Here is a 25,842-nt window from a genome sequence, read left to right on the forward strand (position 1 = left end):
GTAGGAGTGAGCTTTGGAGCCAGGTTGCCTACTAGCTATGTGGGCTTGGGTAAGGTATGTAACTCTCTAAACTTTGCATGTCCCATCTGTAAAATGGGGATAAGTATAGGACCTACTGGAAGGAGTTGCCTGAGGACTTAGCTAATGGAGGGGATCTCAAGCTCTCAGCACATGGTAAGCACCCATTAAAAGTGGACTATCATTACTAACATTAAATGGCTATTATGGCCATTAACATATGGCTATAAGTGGTTTGATATGACTATATCTTCAGCTATGCTAAGGGCCTCAGGGCAGGTTTTGGGTCATGGTTTCTCCTGGCAGAGCCTCCCACAGGTCTTGCAGATTACACATGAGGCTCACTAAATGACCACTGGATAAAGAGGCTGCTTTCGCAGGCACTGTGTGACAACCAAGCCAAGAAGATGGCCCCAGAAAATTAGCCAGAGCTCTGCCTTCCCCACAGTTGAAGCCAGCAAAGCCCACCAGTGACTGCTTGGCTTCTTCCTAACTAGAATGCTGAATCCCCTCTTCCTGAAACATGGCTCTGGGGAGGTCCTGGGAAGATAGATGTCCCTAGTGATCTGACAAAAATTCCCGCAGAAACCACTTCAGAGCCCGTCTTAAAAGTAACCATGGCTGGGTGCAGTGGTTCACGCCTGTAAGCCCAACACTTTAAGAAGCCAAGGTGGGAGGATCGCTTAAGCCTAAGAGTTTGAGACCAACCTGGCAACACAGTGAGATCTCGTCTCTATTTACAAAAAAAAAAAAAAAAAACAAAACACCGGAGAAATAAACCCTGAAGTATTAAGGGATAATAGGGCATTATTTTTGCAACTTGGTTGAAGAAAAGAAATATAAATAGAGAAAAAGAATGACAGGACAAATGTGTTAAAATGTTCACAAAATTGCATATTATGCTTGCAACTCTTCTCTAAGTTTGAAATGATTTCAAAACCAAAAGTTAACACAAAAGGAGAGACCGAAGAGAAATTCCAGCGCCAAGTCAACAGCTTTGCTCCACCAACCCCCGCCTTCTCACCTAGCTTGGTGGCTGCCCAGGGTGTCAGCTCTGCTTGAGGGGAAGTCCATGTTATACCATCACCAACTTGGAGGCTGCATTGCAAGTCCTCTGCTCTATGTGTGCCTTATCTAAGGTCAGGCGGGGACAGCAGATCCGCAAAATATTAAGGCTTTAACTACCTTGCTTAAAAGGGGGACTCTGGTCAAACATTTAACCCCTCAGAAGCCATTTTTCTACTAGTACATGGTGGAGTTACTGGTAGCCATGCTACCTACCCCACAAGACTATGTTGAGGCCGGGCGTGGTGGTGCGCACCTGTAATCCCAGCTACTCAGAAGGCTGAGGCATGAGAATCGCTTGAATCCAGGAGGTGGAGGTTGCAGTGAGCGAGGTTGCGCCACTGCGCTCCAGTGTGGGCAACAGAGAGAGACTCTATTTAAAAAAAAAAAAAGACAGTTTCGACAGTGAAGTCCAGGAAGGCAATTTGCGGGCTGCACAGCACAGACTTCAGTCAGATAAGGTGTCAGTGATGAGCAAATCCTGATGGAGGGACTCTTATGCAACACACACTCTGCTGAGAGCTGGAGAGACCCAGCGCCTGCTCCCCTGGGCCTACAGTCTGGGGAGGGAGCTAGCTCTACAACAAATAATTGCAGAAATAGGTGTATGATTACAAATTGTGCTAAGTGCTTAAGGAATCACCAAGGGTGCTCTGAGAACATACAAAAGGCCCAGCCCGTCCTTGTCTGGGAGTCAGGGACGGCTTCTCTGAGGAAGCGATGGACAACAGCTTGAGTCTACAGCTAGAAAACAGGTAGGCTAAAGCATATTATAATCCCACAACATTAGCGAAGTGTATAAACCAATCTGTTAACAATGAATTCAAGTTAAATGACAGTATGAGGAGGTAGCAGGTCAAATCCAGAATATAGGACATTTATCAGGACAAATCAAACTGTTTTCTCTGAAAATCAATGGCATGAAAAAAAATATTTTCAGGCAGGGTAGGGGACCATTGGAGAGTAAAATACTTGAGAACACTTACGTATTTTATATTTATTTATTTATTTATTTTTTGAGACAGAGTCTTGATCTGTCACCCAGGCTACAGTGTAGTGGCATAAACACGGCTCACTGCAGCCTGGACCTCCCGTGCTCAAGCAATCCTCCTACCACAGCCTTCCAAGTAGTTGGGATTACAGGTGTGTGTCACCATGCCTAGCTAATTTAAAAAAAAATTTTTTTTTTGAGATGAGTTTCCCTCTTGTTGCCCAGGCTGGAGCACAATGGCGTGACCTCGGCTCACTGCAACCTCTGTCTCCCGGGTTTAAGCGATTCTCCTGCCTCAGCCTCCCGAGTAGGTGGGATTACACGTGCCTGCCAACAGGCCCGGCTAATTTTTTTGTATTTTTAGTAGAGACAGAGTTTCACTATGTTGTCCAGGCTGGTCTCGAATTCCTGACCTCAGGTGATCCACCCACCTCGGCCTCCCAAAGTGCTGGGATTATAGAAGTGAGCCACCATGCCCAGCTTAAAAGACGCTAAAAAAAAATGTAATGCATGGACTTTATCTGGATTATGATGTGAACAACTATAAAAACCATTTCTGAGACAACAGAGGAATGGACAACAGAAGATATTAATGAATTATTGGTAATTATTTTAGGTGTGAAAATGGCATAGTTGTTATGTTAAAAAAAAAAAAAGCCCTTATCTGGTAGTGCCATTTATGGGTAAAATGACACACTGTCTGGGGGAGCAGATGAAACAGGTGAGGAAGCTGGGTGGTGGGTATGTGAGGACTCATTCTACTGTTCTTTCCACATTTGTGTTATCTTTTTAAATTTCCACAATAAAAAGTTAAGGAAAAAACAATGGTTCACTCCAAAGAGTCGGAAGTGCTCTGAATTGCTTGGATTTTTTTTTTTTTTTTACAATAATCAGAAAAGTCCATTGCACACCAACGCTGTCTACCACGTTGCGTCTAATGACTGCACCATATTTTCATGCATGGACGGACCGCAGTGTGGCCAATTTCCTTCTGATGCCATTGAAGTTCTCTCCAACTTTCCCTTACAATAACTGAATCTATCCAATTCCCGATGCTTCTGTTCTGAATGACATCCTCTCCTTCCTCCTCGTGTCCCCCCAACCCTTCCACCCAAATCACTTGATGACCACTTCCAGACTTAGCAGCTGGCGGCATGGCATGGGTATCCATGTCACAAGAATGCCCAGGGCCTGGAACCATCTGCTCCAGGGACCTACAAGGCACTGAGTGCCTCAGGATGATTCAAATTCTGCCTCCGAAGGATCCAGTTACCAGGGGCAGCACACACTGCAATGCGGGGACTAAGAGGGAGCTGGAGGAGTTTTCCAGCCAGGTCACCTTAACAGCCCTCATCCAGCCCTTGATGCAGGTCTCAGCCCAGTTCCGTGCTGCAGATGGGGCTCCATGAAGCCTAGAAAGGATTCAGAGTTCCCTTCCTCTCGCCTTGCCATCCTCTAGCACAAGCGTGTCCAACCCACAGACCATGGGCCCCATGCTGCCCAGGACAACTTTAAATGTGGCAAGCACAAACTCCTAAACTTTCTTAAAACATTATGAGATTTTTTTGTGATTCTTTTTTTAGCTCATCAATTATTGTTAGTGTTAGTGTATTCTATGTGTGGCCCAAGGCAATTCTTCTTCCAGTGTGGCCCAAGAAAGCCAAAAGATTGGACACCCCCGCTCTAGTCATTTTCCCACTCGAGGTTCCCACTCTTTTTTTTAAAAAAAGAGATAGGGGTTTCACTCTGGCATAATCATAGCACACTGCAGCCTCATACTCCTGGGCCCAAGTGATCCTCCCATTTCAACTTCTCTAGTAGGTGGGACTACAGGTGCATGCCACCATGCCCGGCTCCTGCTCCTTTTAAACACAGCCATTCAGCACCATTTTTAACCTATCCAAATGGTACTAATTTTTTTTAAGGGTAATATCCAGGGTTAGCAAAGTTGCTGGGAAGCAGGCACTCTTCCATACCACCACTGGAAGTATACTAGCGCAATCTTGTGGGAATGTATTACCTGGTGATATGCAAGGTTCTTAAAATCATACCCTGTGATTAGGGCTTCCACTTTAGGAACTTATTCCTGAGCATACTGACAGATATAAATCAAGGATCACCACAGCAGTGCTATATAAAATCAAATGGTGCACGAGAAGCAACTCAAAAAGGCATTCAGTGGGGAAATGGATGAACAAATTTTTATAGACATAAAACGGAATACTAATCAGCAATAAAAAGAAATAAACTCCTGATAGACACAACGACATGGATGAATCTCAAAAGCATTACATTAAGTAAAAAGGAGCAGGCAGAAAGGAGTACATATATATAACTCCATTTATGTGAAACTCTAGAAAAGACAAATCTAATTTACAAGGACAAAAAGCACATCAGTGATTGCCTAAGGCTGGGGGCAGGATGGGACTGATGAGGAACTTTCTAGGTTGATGGCAATGGCCTATGTCTTTTTTTTTTTTTTGAGATGGAGTCTCACTCTGTCACCCAGGCTGGAGTACAGTGGCACAGTCTCGGCTCACTGCAACCTCTGCCTCGCGGGTTCAAGCGATTCTTCTGCCTCGGCTTCCTGAATAGCTGTGACTACAGGCATGTGCCACCACGCCCAGCAATTTTTTTGTTTATTTTTAGTAGAGATGGGATTTCACCATGTTGGCCAGGATGGTCTTGAACTCCTGCCTTTGTGATCCACTTGCCTCGGCCTCCCAAAGTGCTGGGATTACAGGTGTGAGCCACCGCACCCGGTCGTCTTTTTTTTTTTTGAAACAGTCTCTCTTTGTCACCCAGGCTGGAGTGCAGTGGCATGATCTTGGGTCACTGCAACCTCTGCCTCCCGGGTTCAAGCAATTCTCCTGCCTCAGCCTCCCGAGTAGCTGGGATTACAGGCATGTGCCACCACGCCCAGCTAATTTTTGTATTTTTAGTAGAGATGGGGCTTCACCATGTTGGCCAGGCAGGTCTCGAACTCCTGGCCTCATGTGATCCACCCACCTCGGCCTCCCAAAGTGCTGGGATTACAGGCATGAGCCACCGTGCCTGGCCTTATGTCTTGATTATGGTGGTGGTTACATGAGTATATACATTTGTCAAAACTCACTGTACACTATAAACGGTATATTCACTTAAGATCTGTATATTGTACTGTATATAAATTATACTTCAATTTTTAAAAAATGAATAAGCAGTCCCCTAAATATCCAACAATGAGATGAGTTAGTGAAATCATGATGTATCCATAAAACATTATGCATTGGATTGCAGAAGGACAGAAAATGACATAGAAGGTTATTTAGCACGTGCAGTTAAGGAAAAAAGTTATGAAACTGTGATATACTTGATAGTATTTTTGTAAAATAAAATGTATATACTTGAAAAGAAAATGACCAAAAGGAAATCTTCTATTCATTTGTTCAATATAAATTTCCTGAGTGCCCACTATATATCATTATTGCTACAATTAGCGAAATATATCAAAAATCCCTTCTATTCATGGTTTCATAAAAGTTATTTAGATTATTAAAATCTACACATTAAAATAATGAGGCCAGGCATGGTGGCTCACTCCTATAATCCCAGCATTTTGGGAGGCTGAGATGGGCGGATCACTTGAGGTCAGGAGTTTGAGACCAGCCTGGCCAACGTGATGAAACCCCATCTCTACTAAAAATACAAAAATTAGCTGGGCGTCATGGCACATGCCTGTAATTCCAGCTACTCAGGAGGCTGAGGCAGGAGAATCATTTGTCCCCAGGAGGCAGAGGTTGCAGTGAGCCAAGATCATGCCACTGCACTTCAGCCTGGACAACACAGTGAGACTCTGTCTCAATAAAAAAAAAAAAATAATAATAATAAAATAAAATAAACATTAAAATAATGAAATGGTAAAGTGTGTAATTCATACTACCTCTCTGTCAAAGCATACGTAATTTATGCTTTCTTATGCACAGAATAGGATTCACGAGAAATTGGGGTCAGTGGTATCTTCTGCGGAGGGAAATTTGGGGACAACGGTGGCAGGAAGCCTTTCCATCATCTACTCTTTTGTATAGCGTGGTTTTACAAAATCACATTCATGTGTTATCTGTTCTAAACAAACAATTGATTGTTTCTAATTTTTTGCTAGTGTCCAATAATCAGGAATTGGGTGGAGAAGAATGATATGGAAAAATGTATATGGGAAATAGATAAAGTGTTTTACGACAAGGTATTTTCCTTTTCATTTATTTATTTTTTTTGAGATGGAGTTTTGCTCTTGTTGCCCAAGCTGGAGCGCAATGGTGCAATCTCGGCTCACTGCAACCTCCGTCTCCCGGGTTCAAGCGATTCTCCTGCCTCGGCCTCCTCAGTAGCTGGGATTACAGGCACTCATCACCATACCCAGCTAATTTTTGTAGTTTTAGTAGAGACAGGGTTTCTCCACGTTGGCCAGGCTGGTCTCAAACTCCTGATCTCAAGTGAGCCACCTGCCTCAGCCTCCCAAAGTGCTGGGATTACAGGCGTAAGCCACTGCACTCGGCCGGTATTTTCCATTTTTACAAAAAAAAAAAAAAATCCAAAATAAAAATGTATTGTGATGACACACACAGTAAAGGACACACACCAAAAATGTCAACAGAGATTGTTTCCAAGTGGTAGGATTGTGAGGGGAATTTTACTTTCTTCTGTTTGCTTGTATTCATTTTTGCCATTTCTTAAACAAATCCTCTGTGTGTCTGTGTGTGTGTGTGTGTGTGTGTGTGTCTGTGTGTGTGTGTGTGTAATAACTCAAAAAGAAAAAGAGAGAACAGCAGAGTCGCAGTGTCACCTCTTTCTGCCAGGTGCTCAGATATACTAGAGAACTGCTGGCTGCACTCCCTTTACCCGAGGGACTGTGTGATTTAGGAAGACAAAGAAGAAGTCAATGACAAGGGCACAGGGCCAGCTCCAAGTCTTAAATGTCCTCCACTCCCTTAGCACAGGCTTCCCCAGCCAACCAGGGTGCCCAGCCAAGTCCCTTGCCCATCTCATGATGTGGAGGCCCTGGAGATTGATGGGGTACACCCACACCCATTTTCTCCCTGGGACACCTGGGTGGCAGGTGGGGCAGGGATTGCTGTCGTGATTTTGCAGAGGAAAGGAAGCCTTCAAAGGTAATTTGCTTCTGCCACAGATAAGGTGCACTGAGACCATGTCTTGACTGGGTATCGTGCACACACTGAGCATTTTGGTATTCTAAGACCTAAAAGACTCAAGTGACAACGCCAAGTTCTGGTTCAGTTTTGTCACCAGATTCCTCGAGAATACGGGTGAAGCACTGCAGTCAGTTTCAAAGCTAGACACTATCTTGAGTGGCAGCCCATCTTGTCCCCCAACCTCATTTGCGGTTTTCAATTCTTCCCAGTCCATCTTCCATCCTCTGTATACACCTTCTAAGACAGCTTGAATCACCTCTGCAGGTTAGACTGCAGGAAATTTCTCCTTATTTTATGAACCCCCACACCTTCATCTCCAGGGGGTCATGAGGGCAGACTGCTTCAGGTCTCACTTGAAGACTGCAAACATAAGATAGCCCTGCCATTAGAGGAGGAAAGAGCTTGTCAAAGCCAGCATTTGAGCTTGAAAGGCCTGAATGACACATTCCTGTAACTAAGCCGGGCAGACACATCCCACTGCCAGAGTTTGGAACACTTTCTTTTTGGTAGATCTGGGGGCATCTTGTGATTTGGGGGGAACTTTCCCTTGAGGGATGCAGAAATCCAAAAGGAGGGGAAGGGAATGGAAAAACCAAGCGGAGGATGACCTACCCAAATCCATGAGCCCTTTGTTGAGTATGGACCTTGGTCACTACTTTCTTTCTTTTTTTTTTTAGAGGAAATCTCGCTCTGTCACCAGGCTGGAATGCAATGGCGTGATCTCAGCTCACTGCAACGTCCGCCTCCCAGGTTCAAGCAATGCTCCTGCCTCAGCTTCATGAGTAGCTGGGACTACAGGTGCACACCACCACGCCCGGCTATTTTTTTTGTATTTTTAGTAGAGACGGGGCTTCACCTTGTTGGCCAGGATGGTCTCGATCTCTTGACCTCGTGAACCGCTCATCTCGGCCTCCCAAAGTGCTGGGATTACAGGCATGAGCCACCGCGCCTGGCCAGGTCACTGATTTCTATAAGGAGACAGGTGTTCAGCCTTGAAGTGGGGAAATTTGAGGAATTTAGGGGAAGGAGTGAGAAAAAAATACTGATGTTGAAAGAGAGAAATAAAAGGACGTGCAAGCTTCAGGAGTCACTAAAAAAATAATGCAGTTTTGACACAGGGGCTGAGGATGAAGCTGGGATGAATTTCTACCACTATCCAGCTGTCAGAGTTCGGCAAGCGGGGGGGCCCTGAGGTGTCCTTTTCCCTGGCAAGTTAGGGACAGGCAATGGCAGAGGCCAAATCACTTTGAGGGGAGAGGCACCACACACAGGTGAGGTCCAGGCATGGCCACTCACCAGGGCCAAATAAAGGCGACCTTGGCCTAGTCATCAGCCCTTTCCAATGCCCACAGCAAGGCCCACGTCCATAGCGGCTGGCTTCTCAGGATGGTTTAGAGAGAGCACATCCGTTGGAGAGCGCCAGAAAACAAACTAAAACACAAGAGCCTATAGTGTCATGGATGACAGAACCTCAATTTTCCCCTGCTTTGTATTTCCACTTTGTGTTAAATTGGATATTTTTAAAATGAATTTACGTTCAAGCTTTGATACAATCCGCGGTTTCATCTCAGACACTTATTCCTGTGAGCCTTGCAGTTTCTTGTCTGTAAACTGGGGTTAATCCTAACACTAGGGCCAAAGTGAGGAGTAAATAAGATAATATATGGGAGCATGCTGGCACACTGCCTGAAATCTAGAAAGTGCTCAATAAACAGTAGCTACTAACATTATCAACACTAAACGAAATGTTTGCTGTTCATGTTTTGGAAGATCTTTGCATAGATTCAGTCACAAATCAAACATCTTTTATCTGTCCACTGGTTTAAGAAATGTGGCCGGGAACAGTGGCTCACGCCTGTGATCCCAGCACTCTGAGAGGCCAAGGCGGGCGGATCACCTGAGGTCAGGAGTTAGAGACCAGCCTGGCCAACATGGTGAAACCCCGCCTCTACTAAAAATACAAAAGTTAGCTGGGTGTGGTGTGCGCCTGTAATCCTAGCTACTCGGGAGGCTGAGGCAGGGGAATCACTTGAACCCAGGAGGCAGTGGTTGCAGTAAGCCAAAATCATGCCACTGCTCTCCAGCTTGGGTGACAGAGCAAGACTCCGTCTCAAAAAAAAAAAAAAAAAAAAAAGCGGTCTCACAGAGCTGAAGTCCTCTGAGTGTGCAATGAAGTAAGCTTCAGGAAGTGGGAAAAAATGCATTAGGTGGCTGGTTGCCCTGCAGATCTCAAGTCTGGAGCAGGATGAGAAGACCCCTAAGGTATCACATGACTCCCGTCTTGGGAGAAGGTAAACACCCAGTGGACGAGAAGGAGGGAGCCCCTAGCCCCTGGCTCCCTGGAGCCCAGGAAGATAAAGTTACCAGCTCATGTCAAGCAGAGCTTATCAACATGGCTTTGGGAGGGAGATTTTTTTCCCCTAAGAACTCCAGAAATCCCTGTATTCAGAAAGTCTTCTACACACTCATGAAGCCTTAAGTCACAGTGGTGTGTGTCTTTGCTTACTAACATAACTATTTCCTTCTAATTGGAGAGGGAAGACTATGTGTAAAATGGGCATAAATCAAAAGGAGACGAGTGCAAGTTCTATCTACTTTGCTGCTCAGAAAATTCAGGAAGAAAAACAGGACCTCCTGTTAGAAGTCTGGGAGGAATTATCTACATTTCTGTTATCTGGGCGCAACCTGCAGTTATTTTCCTAAGATCCTTAAGCTGTACTTTGGTCCAGGCCAGTAAATCTGCCCTTGCAGGTAATTGCTTTTCTAACTTCCTGCCCCATGTTACCTGACAGGAGAACATGCAGGTCTGTAGGAAGCTGGGGTGGCATCCTCCATCAACCAGATCCTGTGCTGGGCACCACAGTCAATGCTGTGCCCACACACACAAAGACTGTCCTGGCAGATGCCGAAGACGAGATGAAGGATTCCCAGGAAGCATCCCTGCACACAAGCATTCATTCAACATTTCCCAGAAGAGTCCATTTGGGGCTGTCTCACTCTTTTGTGCACTCCCAATGCCTGTGCCTGCATCAGGTGAGGTGGGGGACACCCTGAGGTCCCTCTCTGACTCAGACACTGGTCTGGGAATGCCAAGGTAACAAGGCACACCTCATACCTGCAAGGAGCTCACAGTCTAGTGGGTAGGACAAGTCACTATGCAGGGTGACAAAGATGGTGAAAGAAGCAAGGATGAGGGTGGGGCCAGGACACATGACAAAGGAGAGGCTTAAGGGACAAGGAACGTGGCCCTCAAGCTGCATACCATCCAATGCTCTCGTTCCATCATGTGTAACCAGCACTCACCAAAATCTGTTAGTTCTTGGATTCAACACCCTATTAATTTTAAACTTAGGTGGATGCATCTTTCAAGAAAAAAACAAATGGCCCCGAGTTTTAATCTGGACAGACCTGGCACAGACTTGGTTACCAGAAAAACATCACTAGCAGCCTCCTCACTGGTGACGCCAGCCTGGTGACAATCTACTCCTCCTTTTGGTTCAGGGAAGAGGGTCAAGGGGCACACGTAGCAGGCAAGAAACCCCACATCCCTGTACTGGCTGGCACTCCCACCCCCAGCAGAAAGGTCAGAGGAGCTGAAGGGAGCGGGGTCCTAGGTGGGCTTCTGCAGATGCAGCAGGGACAGGAAGAAGGATCCAAGGAGGAATTTAAGGGCTGAGCATGGGATAAAGGTGGCCTACAGGAAGGGGAGGGAGAGATTTCTCCAGAGCAATTTGGGCTGGAGGAGGGTTCAACTCCCCACATTCACCCATTGGGATGCCAGGCTGCTTAGAGGGTCTTACCAATGGGGTCTCACTCCTGGTTCCCAGCCCTCAGTAGATACATGATTTTTGGTGAACTAGTCCCTTTCCTGACTTCAACACCATCATAGGACCAATGGTCCAAGTGGCTAACAGTGCCTTTCTTACAAGGATTACCCATCACATCTGTGGACCCCTTGGAGGGTGGTCACAAACCCTAAGCCTTACTCTGAGCAGCACTATGTGAACGGGCCATCACTGTCTTGCAGCAACCCTAAGTGGAGAGGTGCAATGCCTGCCAAGTACCCACCATGCACCTCACACTGTTCTTAAGTTATCTCACTTAATCTTAACATTGCTGTAAAACGTTTCTCCCAGCTTACAGAAGAGGAAAGCGAAGACTGACTTATTCATTCTCCTTGTCATTCCATACACATCGGGAAGCTGTGTTCATGGCACTGAGGCCCCCGCAAGGAAGAAGACAGACACAGGTCTCTTCTCGTGTAGCATGTATTCTAGTGTGGGAAGAAAGGCAGCAAACAAACGAAAAATAACTTCAGGCCAGGCACGGTGGCTCACGCCTGTAATCCCAGGACTTTGGGAGGCCGAGGCTGACGGATAACGAGGTCAGGGGTTCTTCGAGACCAGCCTGACCAACAGGTGAAACCCCGTCTCTACTAAAAATACGAAAATTAGCTGGGTGTGGTGGCACATGCCTGTAATCCCAGCTACTCAGGAGGCTGAGGCAGGAGAATGGTGTGAACCCGGGAGGCGGAGGTTGCACTGAGCTGATAGTGCCACTGCACTCTAGCCTGTGCGACAGAGTGAGACTCCGTCTCAAAGAAACCAACCAACCAAACAAACAAAAAACAGAAAAACACTTCAGATCCTGGTAAATGCTACAAAGAAAAAGCAAGGTGATTTAATAGAGTGACATGGAGAGGCAGCAATAGATTAAGGGAGACAAGCAACCATGTGAGAGTCTGAGAAACACAGAATCCAAATAGAGGAAAGAGCCAGTGCAAAGACCCTGAGACATGAACAAGCTTGACTTGTTCCAGGAACAGAAAGGAGGTCAGTGTGGCTTAAGAGCAATGGCATGGAGGGTAGGGAAGGGGTAAGAGACAAGGTCAGAGAGCAGGCCAGAGCCAGGCTATGCTGGGTATTCCACGCAGTGGTAAGGACTGGGAATTTTAAGTGCAGTGAGATGACATTGGAGGTCTTTAAGCAGAGAATGACACAATCTAAATTCTGGCTATTCTGGGAAGAATGGATGATAGGGGCCAGATTTAGAGAGGTTAAATGAGCAGATCAGGGTTTCACTTCCATCACTAGCGTGCATGCAGTACCAAGACTTGTTTCCATGGTGTCAAGTTTTTGATACCCTGTAGTATGATGCCAGACTGGAATCTCATATTTGACAAACTGGGGCTCCCAACGTCTCAGTGATCTCAACTTCGCCTCCTGTGTCGGTCAGGTGAGGATAATTGCTTGTGGTTGTATGGAAACAGTTACACAGCACATATGTAAACATGCTTTGTATTCATCAGGCAACATTCAACTAAGAGTGTCTACTGTGTGCCACGCTCTTGTAAAGTTGTTCTACAGTGTTAGAAACATATTATCAGAGTAGACATTTGAGAAAAACAATTACCCTGTCTGAGAAAAACAAAATGCCAGCCCTCATTCCTCAAGAAAGGCGAGGCTAGTATGGCTACTAAGTTCCCCTATTCTTCACTCTTCTTGCCAAACTCCATGAAGCCAAATTTTTGAAGAAGCATTTTCTTCTTTGAAGTGGGAGAGGAAATAAAGTAAAGGAGAACAATAGCAGTATTTTGAGGAGGTGGGACATTATAACCAAAGGAACTTGGGATTTGTCCTAATAAGGCCAGCTTTAAGTCAAGGTTGACCTTGGCCATCAGTCCTTGGGTGAGCTTTCTATTTCTAACCTGCAAAACTGGGACAAACTCATCGTCTCTCCGAGGTGGGCAGCCCAATAGTAAACTCATACGGCACTATGACATGGCTATAGCAGTTCATGGAGCCTTTCTTGCTTCTTTGAGCAGCCGAAGGAACATTTAGGACATCCTCCCTTATGTATAAAAGGTTGGGCATTCTCAGGTAACTAAACAAATGGCATTTATTGCTCTTAGAAATCCTTCCCTCTAGAAAGGGGCAAATCAGGTAGAAGTCGTTCCTCCTAAGCTATGAGCAGAAATGACAACCACTTGAGTCTATGATAAACAAGGAAGCCCAATTTCCACGGCAGTCCTCACTAGCTCCATTCAGCCACCTCCTCCAGAAAAGGGCCAGGACCATACCCCTACCACTTTCCTTGCTTTTCAACTGAACCAACAAGACCTGGATTTCTTCTTGTCCAGATGCCTAGAATGTGCCACACGTTGGCCACTCTGTTCTGGGAAGAAGACCAAGGGAACAGATGAAAGCCACAGCCTTGCCAAGCAACGCAGGACAAAGACAGGTCAGCAGGTACAGAAAGAAAAGAAAAAGGCATTAATTGGACAGGAAGACAGCTACTCAATGAGGTAAAAACACTGAGTAGCTGGTGACCCTTTAAGCAGAACTCCTCCAGACACTCGGAGCAAATGCACTGACTGTGAAACCTGTGTGGGGGCTCAGGTACTGCACTAGGAAGACCTTTTCCTCCCTGTATTGGGCGCAGTAGTGTCCCCCCAAATGTCATGTTAATCTGGAACTTCAGAATGTGACCTTACTTGGAAATGGAGTCTTTTCAGATGTAATTAAATTATGATGACATCACATTGGATTAGGGTGGGTTCTACTCCAATGATCGGGTATCCTTGTAAGAAGAGAAAACAGACAGACAGATAGCACCATGTGACAGTGGAGGCAGAGACTGGAATGATGTACCTACAAGCCGAGGAATGCCAAGGATGACCAAGCACCAGCAAATTTAAGAAGGAAGAAGGAAAGATCCTTCTCTAGAGCCTTTTGAGAGTCATGGCCCTGCTAACACCTTGATCTGGGATCTTCAGCTTCCAGAGCTGAAATAAATTTCTGTTGCTTTAAGCCCTCCAGTTTGTGTGGTCCTTTGTAATGGCAGCCCTAGGAAACCAATCCATTCACTACTTCACACCTGTTCCCCAAGCCACCCCTTGCCAATCTCAGCCCAGGGACTGGAGGCAAGACACACAGGCCATGCCTCCAGCCCACCTGGACTCTTCCACCTTCCCAATGCCCCTCAGCCCTTCTCTCCTTGAGGGGAGGGGTGTGCAGGGATCACATTTCAGCTGCTCCCACCCACCTTCTGCCACAGGAGGCAAACCGGCAGGGGAGTTTTTGTTTTCTTCCCTCAGCCTCCCTGTTTTGTAGCCTCTTTCAATTATACAGGTGTTCCTTAAATTTCATTCGGTCCCATTCTAGATATACACATAGATACACGTATTTGGCCATAACCATGTATTCCCTGTACTACCACTTATCTTTATATAGAGTTACTACTTTTACTTAAATTTGTTTTAAAATAAACTGCGACATCATTATTACAATAAATGGAAAATCGCAAACGCAGAGCTTGCTAGATACATACACATTCTTAAATTACACATTAGAATGAATACACAATATTTTTTAAAGACCCCTTCACGTACGGTTTAAAATAACCTAGGGTGGCAATACTATAGGAAACACTGCCTTAGAGGTACAGTGGCTGTCTCTGACTAGTTGGCCCAGAGTTCTGAGCTCCTTATCAGAAAAACCAACTTCAATCTCTCCCATCTCCAGTCTCTAACCCCCGCCCCCCAATTCCGCTCAGACACTCCGGGAGAAGGTAAAGGGTAAGAGGAAAAAAAGGCACCCGGGAGTTCTGAGTTCCCACGCAGGCGACCTGAGAACACGAAGTCGAGACCGAAGGAGACTGTACCCAGTCTTGAGAGTGACAAGGGCAGGGAGGGACTGACCTTCTCGCGCAGGGTGCAGTGGACGTCCGAGGCGACGCGCCCTTCCCACCACGGCTCATCCATCATCGCGTACGCAGCGCCGCTATCCGAGGCTACCCGGCTCTCAGGGCGCACCCTGCGTGGACACGGGCAACTTCAGCGGCCAGAGCGTACCCCGGGCTCCGACCCCCGGTGTCCCTATCCTCTCTCGCCCCTGGCCCCGGGCCCCGGCGGGCGCCCCCTCCTGCGCCGCTCAGAGGAGCTGGAGGTCGCCTCTGGTCCGCGGAAGGCTGCGGTGCCCCCTCCCCTCTGCTCGCCGGACACGGGGCGATATGGAGCTGTGCAACAACTTGCAGAATTTTTATCTTCCCTTTTGCAAAAGTTGCAGAGAAAGTTGTCAACTCCGCTAGCTCGCTCGAGGCTGGGGCTCTGGCGGCGGCCACAGGCTCGCCGTCCCCAACTCCTCCCCCGCCGCCCAGCCTTTGTCCTGCTCCCACATCCTGCCCTCGAGCCGGGGCGAAACTCACGCATCCTCTCTGGGCGTGGGGGGCTGCGAGCGCCGGGCCCCTCCCAGTGCCGAGCCAGCCGTGCCCTCTGGTGCCTGCCGGCGGTTGGACCCTCGTCCGAGGCGCTCCGCACTCCCGACGGCCGCCTCCGCAGCCCGACTAGCCCCCGCCGTCGCCGCGCCCCTGCGTGCGCTCGGGTCCCGCCGCGGCTCGCAGGCTCCCGGCCGCCGGGGGCCTCCCTCCCTCGCTGGGGGAATTGGGGGCCGGGCCTCGCGCATGCGCTGCCGGCGCCCCCGCGCCCCGCGGGGCGGGGGGCTGGGAATTGGAGCCTTTCTTTGCCAGCTCTGGCTCCGCTTCCTGCCCGCCCTCCTCCCTCGCTTCGGCGGAAAGCTTCTCTCTCACCTTCGCTGAGGCTAGTGGTAGCCTTCTGGGCACCCCTCCGGCTTGCGCAGGGAGCAAAGGGACCGCGGCGCCACCTGCGCGCACCACGCGTGAAACGTGCGGACAGGACGCCCCCAGAAAGTTCTGCCTTCCGCGCGCACTGCTCTAGCCATCCTTACGTCGGTTCCACCTGTTTTTCTTTCTCTCTCTCTTTTTTTTTTTTTCCTGTTTTTGTTTTTTGTTTGTTCTCCTCTTCTTTGAAACCCGCCCTGCCATGGGGAGGTAGATTTCCAAACGGACAATTCCAGTGAAAGCTGCAGAAAAACCACCCTTGTTCACCCACGAGTCCCTAATTCTAAAGGAGCCTAAGTCACTGGTATTATTGTGCTCCTGCAGAATATGAACTATGCCTCACATTGGAGGAAAACCAGTCTTTTTTTGCCGGGTCCGGTGGATGGAAAACATTGTCTTTTTAATTCAATTGCTTGCTTTTGGAAAGTCATCCTTTTGAGTCAGCCCATCTGATGGCATAGCATTGGGCTATCCTTCTTGGCTGATTGATTTTTGTGATAGTTTTGGAGATTCACAAATTTGGAATCAAATCCACTTACCAACTGGGTGATTTTTGTCAAGTTCCTCAAACTCAGAGCCTCGTGTGTAAAATGGAAATAAAAGTTAAACCAACCTGCTGAAAATTAAAGGAGATAATGCGTGTAAAGGGATAATCACTACACCAGGTATTAAGTGAACACTCAGTAAACAACTGTGACTGAAGAGCCTTTAGTTTCTGACTGCTTTCCTGCACATAAAGACACACCTGGGAAAAAAAAATTAAATCAGCTTTGATAAGCTTCAATTGGACCTTGAAGAGCAGTTTTAATGTAAAACAAACGAACCATTTTAAAAGTGTAAGATACCTAAAAATAAACTGAATAAATGTGCAGGCTCTTAATGAAGACATTACAAAGGTTGAAACATAATAAAGAAGGCTTGAAGGAATAGAGGCACAAACACCAACTTAACCCAAATTACTCTATTTAATAAAATTTTAATGGTTGTGGGTAGATTGGAGGAGGGGGCACTTAACATGTTTTCTAACCTTCAAATGGGAGAATATCTGCGAGAAAAGCTAAGAAATTTATATTTTAAAAATGGGGGGATGGCGGGGCGCGGTGGCTCACGCCTGTAATCCCAACACTTTGGGAGGCCAAGGGCAGGCAGATCACCTGAGGTCAGGAGTTTGAGACCAAACTGGCTAACATGGTGAAACCCTGTTTCTACTAAAAATACAAAAAATTAGCCGAGTGTGGTGGTGCACGCCTGTAATCCCAGCTACTTGGTAGGCTGAGGCAGGAGAGTCACTTGCATCTGGGAGGCGGAGGTTGCAGTGAGCCGAGATCGTGCCACTGCACTCCAGCTTGGGCAACAAGAGTGAAACTCCGTCTCAACAAACAAACGAACAAAAAAACTGGGGGGACAGACCTGTATTATCAAATCTTAAAGCATATTGCAACACTATAGTTAAAACAGTGTAGTGTTCACACAAGAATGGATGGATTAAGCATCAGTGGAATAACTGAAAGTCTAGGAAAATTTAATATATTTAAAAATTCACTGTATGATAAATGTGGCATTTCACTTTGTTGGGACAAGTATAAACGGCTAAATTATTTAATAAATTAGGTTGGGGGAAAAAAGTAAAACTAAGGACTTGTTTAAATATCACCAAAATAAATATAAGAACTCAGAGAACTACAAACAAGCAAATCACAAGAGGATAAGAAGAAAACATACACGAATTATACGGAGGGGAAGGCCTAGATACTAAGACATGGGAAGAAACCAAAGGCAAGGTGAGTAGACAAATTTGAATAAATATGCAGGATCTAGATACATCAATTATCATTGCCAAAAAGGCAAACGACAAATTTGAGAAAATATTTTTAACAAATGTGACAAAAGGTTGATGCTACTTTCTAGACCTCTGATAAATCGGTATGTAAAACATTAACACCCTACGTGCAGAAATGGATGCAAGACATGAGTAGGTATGCCGTCAGAGAAGGAATTCATATGGATAGATGTTATTTTTAAAATGCTCATACTCCCTAGCATGCAAATTAAAAGCTTTTTTTAAAAAAACAGTGGGGTACTTTTTTGTTAAGGAATTTTGGTCAATCCACAGTGTTGTTGGGAATATAAATTAAGACCATCTTTCTGAAAGACAACATAAATCAAAACATTTTAAACTGTATTATTTGATCCAACTCTTCCACCTGTAGAAATTTATTCTTTTAAAAAAAGCAGATTTATTTCAAAGGTGTTTCATCAAAAATGCTTTTTCATCATAGTGAACCATTAGAACAGGGAACTGGTTTAATAATTATTTGTCTCTTAAAAGCATTTTTTAAAGGATGCATGATGAATTGGAGAAAATGTTTATAATTTATTAAATAAAAAGGATAAACTGGGCTGGGCACGGTGGCTCATGCCTGTAATCCTAGCACACTGGCAGGCTGAGGTGGGAGAATTGCATGAGGCCAGGAGTTCAAGACCAGCTTGGGCAACATAGCAAGATCCCGCCCCCGCCCCCCAACACACACACACACACACACACACACACACACACACACACTAGCCAGGTGTGGTGGTATACACCTGTAGTCTTAGCTGCTCAGAAAGCTGAAATAGAAGAATCACTTGAGCACCAAAGGTTGAGGCAGCAGTGAGCCGTGATTGTGCCACTGCACTCCAGCCTGGGCAACAGAGCGAGACACTGCCTCTGAAAACAAAAACAAAAACAAGAGAAAGAATAAGCTGTCTTTAAGGGGATGAATAAAAACAAAAAAAGATTAGAGTACGATCCCAGTTAAACTACATTCATGCACACACACATATGCAAAAATATTAACTGTGTAATCAGAGTGGTAGGATTATGGTAAATTTTAATTTACCTTTTTTCCTAATATTTCTGTATTTTCTAAATTTTCAACAAGAAATATGCATTATTTCATAACCAGAAAAAAAGAGTGAATGTTACTTTAAAATAATCACATGACATATCAATATGTACTAGAGGGTTCTTCCATTCAACAACAATGAACAGCATTGTTGTTTTGTTTTGTTTTTCATAGCAGTATTATTTATTTCCCAGTCTTTCTATGCTGGGTACATTGAAAGAAGACAGGCCTTTATTATTCACTAATATGTACTGCCCTTTTCCTAAACTTCAGCTATCAATTATCAGGAGTTTGGATAACTAAGAGGGAAAGCAGAAGCTTTGGGCTTTTCTCCAGGGGTATTTCAGTAGGATTCTAAGCATACTCATTCCACACCCCTTTGTGTATCATTCTCCAGAGTCCCTCATTTTCTCAGTATTTCTGAAGAGTAAATATACATTGCACCAATAAACAGATGGTTTTGTGCTGAGTCACTGTCCACAGGTGCCCTTAGCAGAGAAGGCTTCCTGTGCCGGGCAGCAGGAAGTACCAATGCAACTGGAATCACTTCTCCCATCCACCCCCAACCAAGACAAGAAGAAGCATTCATTAAGCCATTCAAAAACTAAACTTTCATTAAGTGCTTACCATGAGTCAGTTACCATCCCTCCACCCTCAACCTCTGAAGCTCACAGGTTGGGAACAACAGATTTAGAGCAAGTGCATTCTACTTATCTTCAGCTTTCTTATATATCCCTAAAAAAAAAAAAATCTGCCCTTTTCAATCTTCCTTAGAGGACAAATTGGTCTAATATTTTCACTGTGATATTATCAACTGCCCAGTTTGCACTGAACTTTCCTTTTGCTTTTCATATGATACAAACTCTCAAACATGGAAAAATGTACACGTTCTCCCTCTGGTCCCAGGCCTTGTTCTCCTCCTCCCCAATGATAACCAGAGTCTTATGTTTCCTTCGGAAGTGATTTATGCATTCACCAGTGTAGACATTCATGCCTTTTTCTCCTTTTACATGAAAGGTAGCATACTCTACACATCCTTGTGTGCCTTACTGTTTTGTGTTTTGTTGTTTTATGGCAGTGCCCAAAGAACTGCATGGCATCCCGTAGTTCCATAGTATGGATCCATCATGATGTGTGGACATTTAGCCTGGGAATGTCCATACATTTCTAGCCTTCTGCTTCCATATAACCACACTGCAGTGAATATTTGCTTCCATGTAACCATACTGCAGTGAATATCCTGACAGGGTCAAGCATATAAATTCCTCAAATACTCAACTGTCCAGGGGAAGTTGAGGCATATACTTTGAATAGTGTTTCCTCATGGTGTTAATGGTTGGCACTGCTCCATTCAGGACCAAAAGCATGAAGCCTGGCTCAGTTTATAGAGACAGACGGAAGACATCTGCCTTATTACCACTTTGATCTTTAACCAAAAACCAATCCAATGCCTTTAAATGATTTTTAATCGTGTGCTCTACTTAGTCAAGAGAACATTTGCCAAATCCTTTATGATCCTTGACTACAAGTTCTTGAGATATGAGTCGGCAGATTAGGTCTGAGAACAAGGCAGGAAGAATAAAAAAGCAGCATTTTGCAAACAGAACTCAAAGCCTAGGACATTCATAAAGCTGGTCCACATTACTTTTTTAAATTTAAAAAGGCACAGAAGGAATAAGTGAAAAATAAACCTCCCTCTCACGCAGGGCCAGCTCCATCCATATAGAAAATTTTATCGTTGAACCTGTGTTTTGTAAATGAAGTCCTTCAGGACAGTGAAGCATGCAGGGAGCAGAGGAGACACATGATAAGTGTCTGCTGTTCCGTTCTCTGTTTGCATGTACTATATCCCGTGCCTCATGAGCATAGAATTCCAGTGGACCTGCGATGCATGGAGTTTGGTGACATTCAAAGGGAGCAGAAGGTCAGTGGATCATGTGTACAAGTGGGCATGGGGTGGGGGGAGTACCTGAGAGGCTGTGCTTTCTATTTGAACTAGAACTTGCTTTGGAACACGGAAAGAAGGTGTTATCAGTTTCTGGGGCTGCCATAACAAAGTACAACAATGGGATGGCTTGAAACAAGAGAACTTTCCTCTCTCACGATTCTGGGTACTAGAAGTCCCAAATCAAGGCATCAGTAGGGCCACACTCCCTCTGAAAACTCTAAGGAAAAATTCTTTTTTCCTCTTCCTGGTTTTTGGGGGTGGCCAGGTATTACAACTGGAGTCCCTTGTTCTTCCTTGGCTTGTAGCTACAGCACTCCAGACCCTGCCTGTGTCTTCACACGGGCTTCTTCTCTTTCTCTTCACGTAGTCTTCTTTTTCTTCTTCTTTTTTTGTTTTTTTTTTTTGAGATGGAGTCTCACTCTGTTGCCAGGCTGGAGTGCAGTAGCACAATCTCGGCTCACTGCAACCACTGCCTCCAGGGTTCAAGCAATTCTCCTGCCTCAGCCTCCCCAGTAGCTGGGATTACAGGCACGCACCACCATGCCTGGCTAATTTTTGTATTTTTAGTAGAGACAGGGTTTCACCATGTTGACCAGGCTGGTGTTGAACTCCTGACCTCAGGTGATCTACCCACCTTGGCCTCCCAAAGTGCTGGAATTACAGGCGTGAGCCACCACGCCGGGCCATGTCTTCTTACAAGGACACCGGTCATATTGGACTAAGGGCCCACCCTACTCAATATGATGTCATCTGAACTAATGACATCTGCAATGAACCTATTTCCTAATAAGGTCACATTGTGAGCTACTGAGGGTTAAGACTTCAACTTATCTTTTGTGGAGGTACACCATTCAATCCATAACAGAAGGCAATAGTATTCTAGGAAAGATGAATGACCGGGGAACCCTATCATATGCTTTCTTAGGGGTGTTGTGTCCCTGTGTTAGGCAACCATGTATTATGACATAAATAGAAAGGGAAAAATGGGGCAACCCATAGTTCCTCTTCCTTCAGCTCTTCCTTACTCATTAGTATTATGCCTAAGGTAGAGCGTGTTGATTGGATGTGCATGTATCGAGAGTGAAATAAAAATAGTTAACTTAATTTTGTGGAGTGTTTTCACCATTACGGAAAGAATGAAATATATATGCATGTTCAGGCTACAAAATAGAATTTGTGTAATTTCAGTGATTTTGCATGTGAGCTGTGTTCTTATTTTTGCATTTAAAACTGGCATGCATAATATAAATGATAAAAACTCTTGCTAATACTTTACATTTTGAATTTTTCTTTGCTGAAAATGACATTAAATAGCATATTTTAAAAATATCTCAATAAAAAATTTTTAGAAAGAACTCACAACAAGTTGAGAGAGGGCTCCGTAAACTGTCCAAAAACTATCTCACACTGCTCCCACTCTGTCCCACCTGACTGCCATCCCAGAAGAAATTCATTTATGTTTCCTTCCAAAGATATTCTCTCTTTCTCTTTTGTTTTAAGAGATGGAGTTTTGCTCTGTCATCCAGGCTGGAGTGCAGTGGTATGATCATAGCTCACTGTGGCCTAGAACTCCTGGGTTCAACAAGGGATCCTCCTGCCTCAGCCTTTTGAGTAGCTGGGACTACAAGCAAGGGTCACCTCGCCCAGCCCATGTTGTTTTTAACCTGAAGTCACCCATCTCCTTTGTGAGCAATCCTTGTGGCAAAGTTTTCCCCCTTGCTAGTGATGTATTTTTGTGGATAAATATGAGAAAATTTATCATTTGCGGCATGCTTAGCTTATGCCAGCACTGTGACACATGTCCAAGCAATCACTGAGAGCAGGCTTCCCTACTTCCCAAATAATTATCCATTGCCTTTCTTTCTGTTCTCCCACACCTGCATCTATCTACCCCACACACTTCAGGTTCCTCGAAGACAAGACCTGTATCTTTTCCGTATTTGTATCCCCAACATCTAGCCCAGTGCCTGCAGTAAAGGACGTCGTCAATATAGGTTTACTGAAATAATAAACAACAGGTCAGGCACAGTGACTCAAGTCTGGAATCCCAGTACGTTGGGAGGCTGAGGTGGGAGGATCACCTGAGTCCAGTAGCTTAAGACGAGCCTAGGAAACATAGTGAGACCGTTTCTACAATTTTTTTTGTTTTTTAATTTAGCCAGGTGTGGTGGTGTGCAAGCCTGTTAGTGCCAGCTACTTGGGAGGTTGAGGTGGGGAGATCGTGGCTGCAGTAAGCCCTGATCTCTCCACTGCAGTACAGCCTGAGCAACAGAGCAAGACCCTGTCTCAATAAATAAATAATAAATAAATAAATAAATAAATAAACGATGGATAACATGGATAGCGGAGCTAACGGGGACCTATGGGAATCACCTGGCCCAGACTTCAGACTGGTCAGGAGTTACTGTCCTCATTTTTCAAATGAGATCTAGAAAGTGTGTGACCCTCTATGGGCCACTTATGCTTTTTGGACCTCCTTGTTCATATTAGTAAAATGAGAAAACTACTCTTTCCTTAAAGGACTGTTGTATGACATGAAGAATCATGAGGTATAAATTGCTCTCTAATATTATTTTGTCATCCATAATAATAACAGAGCAGGCTAGAACCTTCCGATGACATTGCTCTTTGGAGCCTGAAGCAAGCTCTGTGAACCCATGGTGAGGCTTGAGTGAGTAGCCTTCCTTCCATGGGCCTCAGTTTCTCCTTCTGTGAAAGGAGGGGGTGGGATTCGATCCCAGAGGACACAATCTGGGGGGATAAGAGGGTCAGGAAGACAACATAACGAGAAGATGACTTACGGCCCTCCTGGTCTAACTTCCCCCACTCCCCAACCTTTGGAAGAAACTTGGAGGGAGAGAAGTATTCCTCTTTATGAGGAAAAAACCGCCTGAGTTTGACAGTCAATGTCCACACCAGCCACAGTGCCAGGAAGCAGTGTGGAGCGATGAGGACTGTGGTTGACCAGTGGGTGCGTGCTGCATCCAGGGTGGGGAGCCCCTTCTGCATCCCCTCAAATTGTGAAAGCTTGGGAATTGGTGCCCACTATTGCCAGATTGTTTGACTTCAAAAGAAAGAGGAAATTGAGATATCTCCTGATTTTAAAATACTGGCTTGACTTTGCCTCTTTCTTTTCTTTCTTTCTTTTCTTTCTTTCCTTTCTTTCTTTCTTTCTTTCTTTCTTTCTTTCTTTCTTTCTTTCTTTCTTTCTTTCTTTCCTTCTTTCTTTCTTTCTTTCTCTCTTTCTTTCTTTTTCTTTCTTTCTTCCCTCCCTCCCTCTGTCCCTTCCTTCCTTCCTTCTTTCCTTCCTTCCTTCCCTCCTTCTCTCCTCTCTGTCTCTCCCTCCCTCTCTCTCTTTCTTTCTTTCTCTCTCTCTCTCTCTCTTTCTTTCTTTCTTTCTTTCTTTCTTTCTTTCTTTCTTTCTTTCTTTCTTTCTTTCTTTCTTTCTTTCTTTCTTTCCTTCTCTCTTTCTCTCTCTCTCTTTTTTTTCCACCATGTGGGCGACACACCACATCAGCCCTGGCTTGGAAACCCTGGCGTAGGTGTGTGATAGGAGCCCTCCAGCCTGACAGGGATTCTGCAGGGAACAATGGGATAAGAGCTTTCCAGACTCCAGGAGGAGGAAATAAAAGGCACCATTAACTTCAACCCCCCTGAGCCTGCCAGCCCTGCTCCTCCAACAGACAATAAACAGGAAGGAGACTGAGACTGGACAGTGAAAGGTGACCAGACAAGCCTGCCGGGGGACCCTCATGCCTAGAAGTTCCTCACTGCCAGCAGCAGGGTGCTGCTTTCCTTGGGCCACCTGGATGCCACAAAGCCACCTTCTATGAGGGGCTTCCGTAGCTTCCAGGGCTGCAAAGACCCAAAGTTCAAGAGCCAAGGATTACGGTCGCAGCCGCTCAGCTGAGGGGACTCAGGCTTGGGGTGGAGAAGGGTTGGGAAATCTATGAAAAATTTCTTGATTACGCAAGTATCATTCTCCTTGTACCACTATTAAAGCACGATTAAAATATTATTAAGATCCTGGCCGGGCGCGGTGGCTCACGCCTGTAATCCCAGCACTTTGGGAGGCAGAGGCAGGTAGATCAGTAGTTCAAGACCAGCCTTGCCAACATGGTGAAACCCTGTCTCCACTAAAAAAATACAACAAAAAAATTAGTTGGGTGTGGAGCCGAGACGGTGCCACTGCACTCCAGCCTGGGCGACAGAGTGAGACTCCGTCTCAAAAAATATATATATTATTAAGATCCTGAACAACACCTCCCCCAACCCTGCCCCCTACCAGCAGGTAACCACTGTGATATTGATGGAATGGTCTTTGGCCAGGCACATAGGCAGTGGGGGTGAGGAAAGGCAGACCAGGTCAGAGCCTACTGTAATAATCCAGCTGAGAGATGGGGCTGGCTTGGGCAGGGGGAAGAGGTGAAGGGAGTGAGGAGGGGCCAGATCTTGAGCATAGTTAGAAACAGGAGCCTATAGGATCTGCTGATGGACTAGATGTGAGGTGTAAGAGAAAGAAATCAGATGACCCCAGGTTTTACCTCTGAACACCTAAAGGGTGAAGTTCCCATTTACTTAGATGTGGAACTTAATCACGTCTCTAAGGACATTTTTGATGTATTGCCCTCTTCCCTCTTTTCCCAACCCAGCCTGCTTCCACCAGCTCAGTATTACAGCTAAGGCTCTAAGACTGCCCCAGACTTCAATGTTGGCTTTGATTTTTTTCTAGTTAATGATCTCAAGCAAGTTAGCTAACCCCAGATTCCTTCTTTCCAAAATGGGGATAATAATAGTACTGCCTTTATGGGGTTATATGAAGGTCAAATGATATGATGCCTGGTATATAAAGGGTGTTGAATAAGTGCGAGCCAAAATTACTGTGTAATCATTAAGTTGTAATTGTATGCATACATAGTTTCCTAGCCTGCTACTTCTAAGCCCAAAATGATCTCACGAGCATTTTTCATGAGATACCTTTAAAAATGTCCCTCGGCTGGGCGCGGTGGCTCACGCCTGTAATCCCAGCACTTTGGGAGGCTGAGGCAGGTGGATCACAAGGTCAGGAGCTTGAGACCAGCCTGGCCAATATGGTGAAACCCCATC

The 25,842-nt window shown here is 45.4% G+C and overlaps 1 protein-coding gene across 7 annotated transcripts in view, besides 2 other annotated features; it reads right to left on the bottom strand.

Moving 5' to 3' along the window:
* CCNJL (cyclin J like) overlaps window positions 1-25,842 on the bottom strand; it is a 90,488-nt gene that overhangs the window by 47,813 nt on the left and 16,833 nt on the right. For 5 of the 7 annotated variants that reach the window (NR_177110.1, XM_017009847.2, NM_001308173.3 and 2 more), the window contains exons 1-2: window positions 15,469-15,669; window positions 14,963-15,077 (exon numbers count right to left, since the gene is read on the bottom strand). Coding sequence is in view for 4 of the 7 variants with exons in the window: in XM_017009847.2 (XP_016865336.2) it covers window positions 14,963-15,028 (66 nt within the window). In the remaining 3 variants the exon portion in view is untranslated. Of the gene's footprint in view, window positions 1-14,962; window positions 15,078-15,468; window positions 15,670-15,849; window positions 15,881-18,486; window positions 18,611-25,842 lie in introns of those variants that run through there. The other 2 variants (NR_131769.2, XM_011534646.4) reach the window with 2 other exon arrangements.
* Window positions 15,598-15,717: a silencer, noted in NCBI's record as "silent region_16582". NCBI's record gives its function as "represses an Ori minimal core promoter by ATAC-STARR-seq in GM12878 lymphoblastoid cells {active_cell/tissue: GM12878}" and the evidence as "EXISTENCE:reporter gene assay evidence [ECO:0000049][PMID:35858748]".
* Window positions 15,828-15,887: a silencer, noted in NCBI's record as "silent region_16583". NCBI's record gives its function as "represses an Ori minimal core promoter by ATAC-STARR-seq in GM12878 lymphoblastoid cells {active_cell/tissue: GM12878}" and the evidence as "EXISTENCE:reporter gene assay evidence [ECO:0000049][PMID:35858748]".

The sequence above is a fragment of the Homo sapiens genome, chromosome 5 (assembly GCF_000001405.40).
Source record: "Homo sapiens chromosome 5, GRCh38.p14 Primary Assembly".
Lineage (NCBI taxonomy): Eukaryota > Metazoa > Chordata > Mammalia > Primates > Hominidae > Homo > Homo sapiens.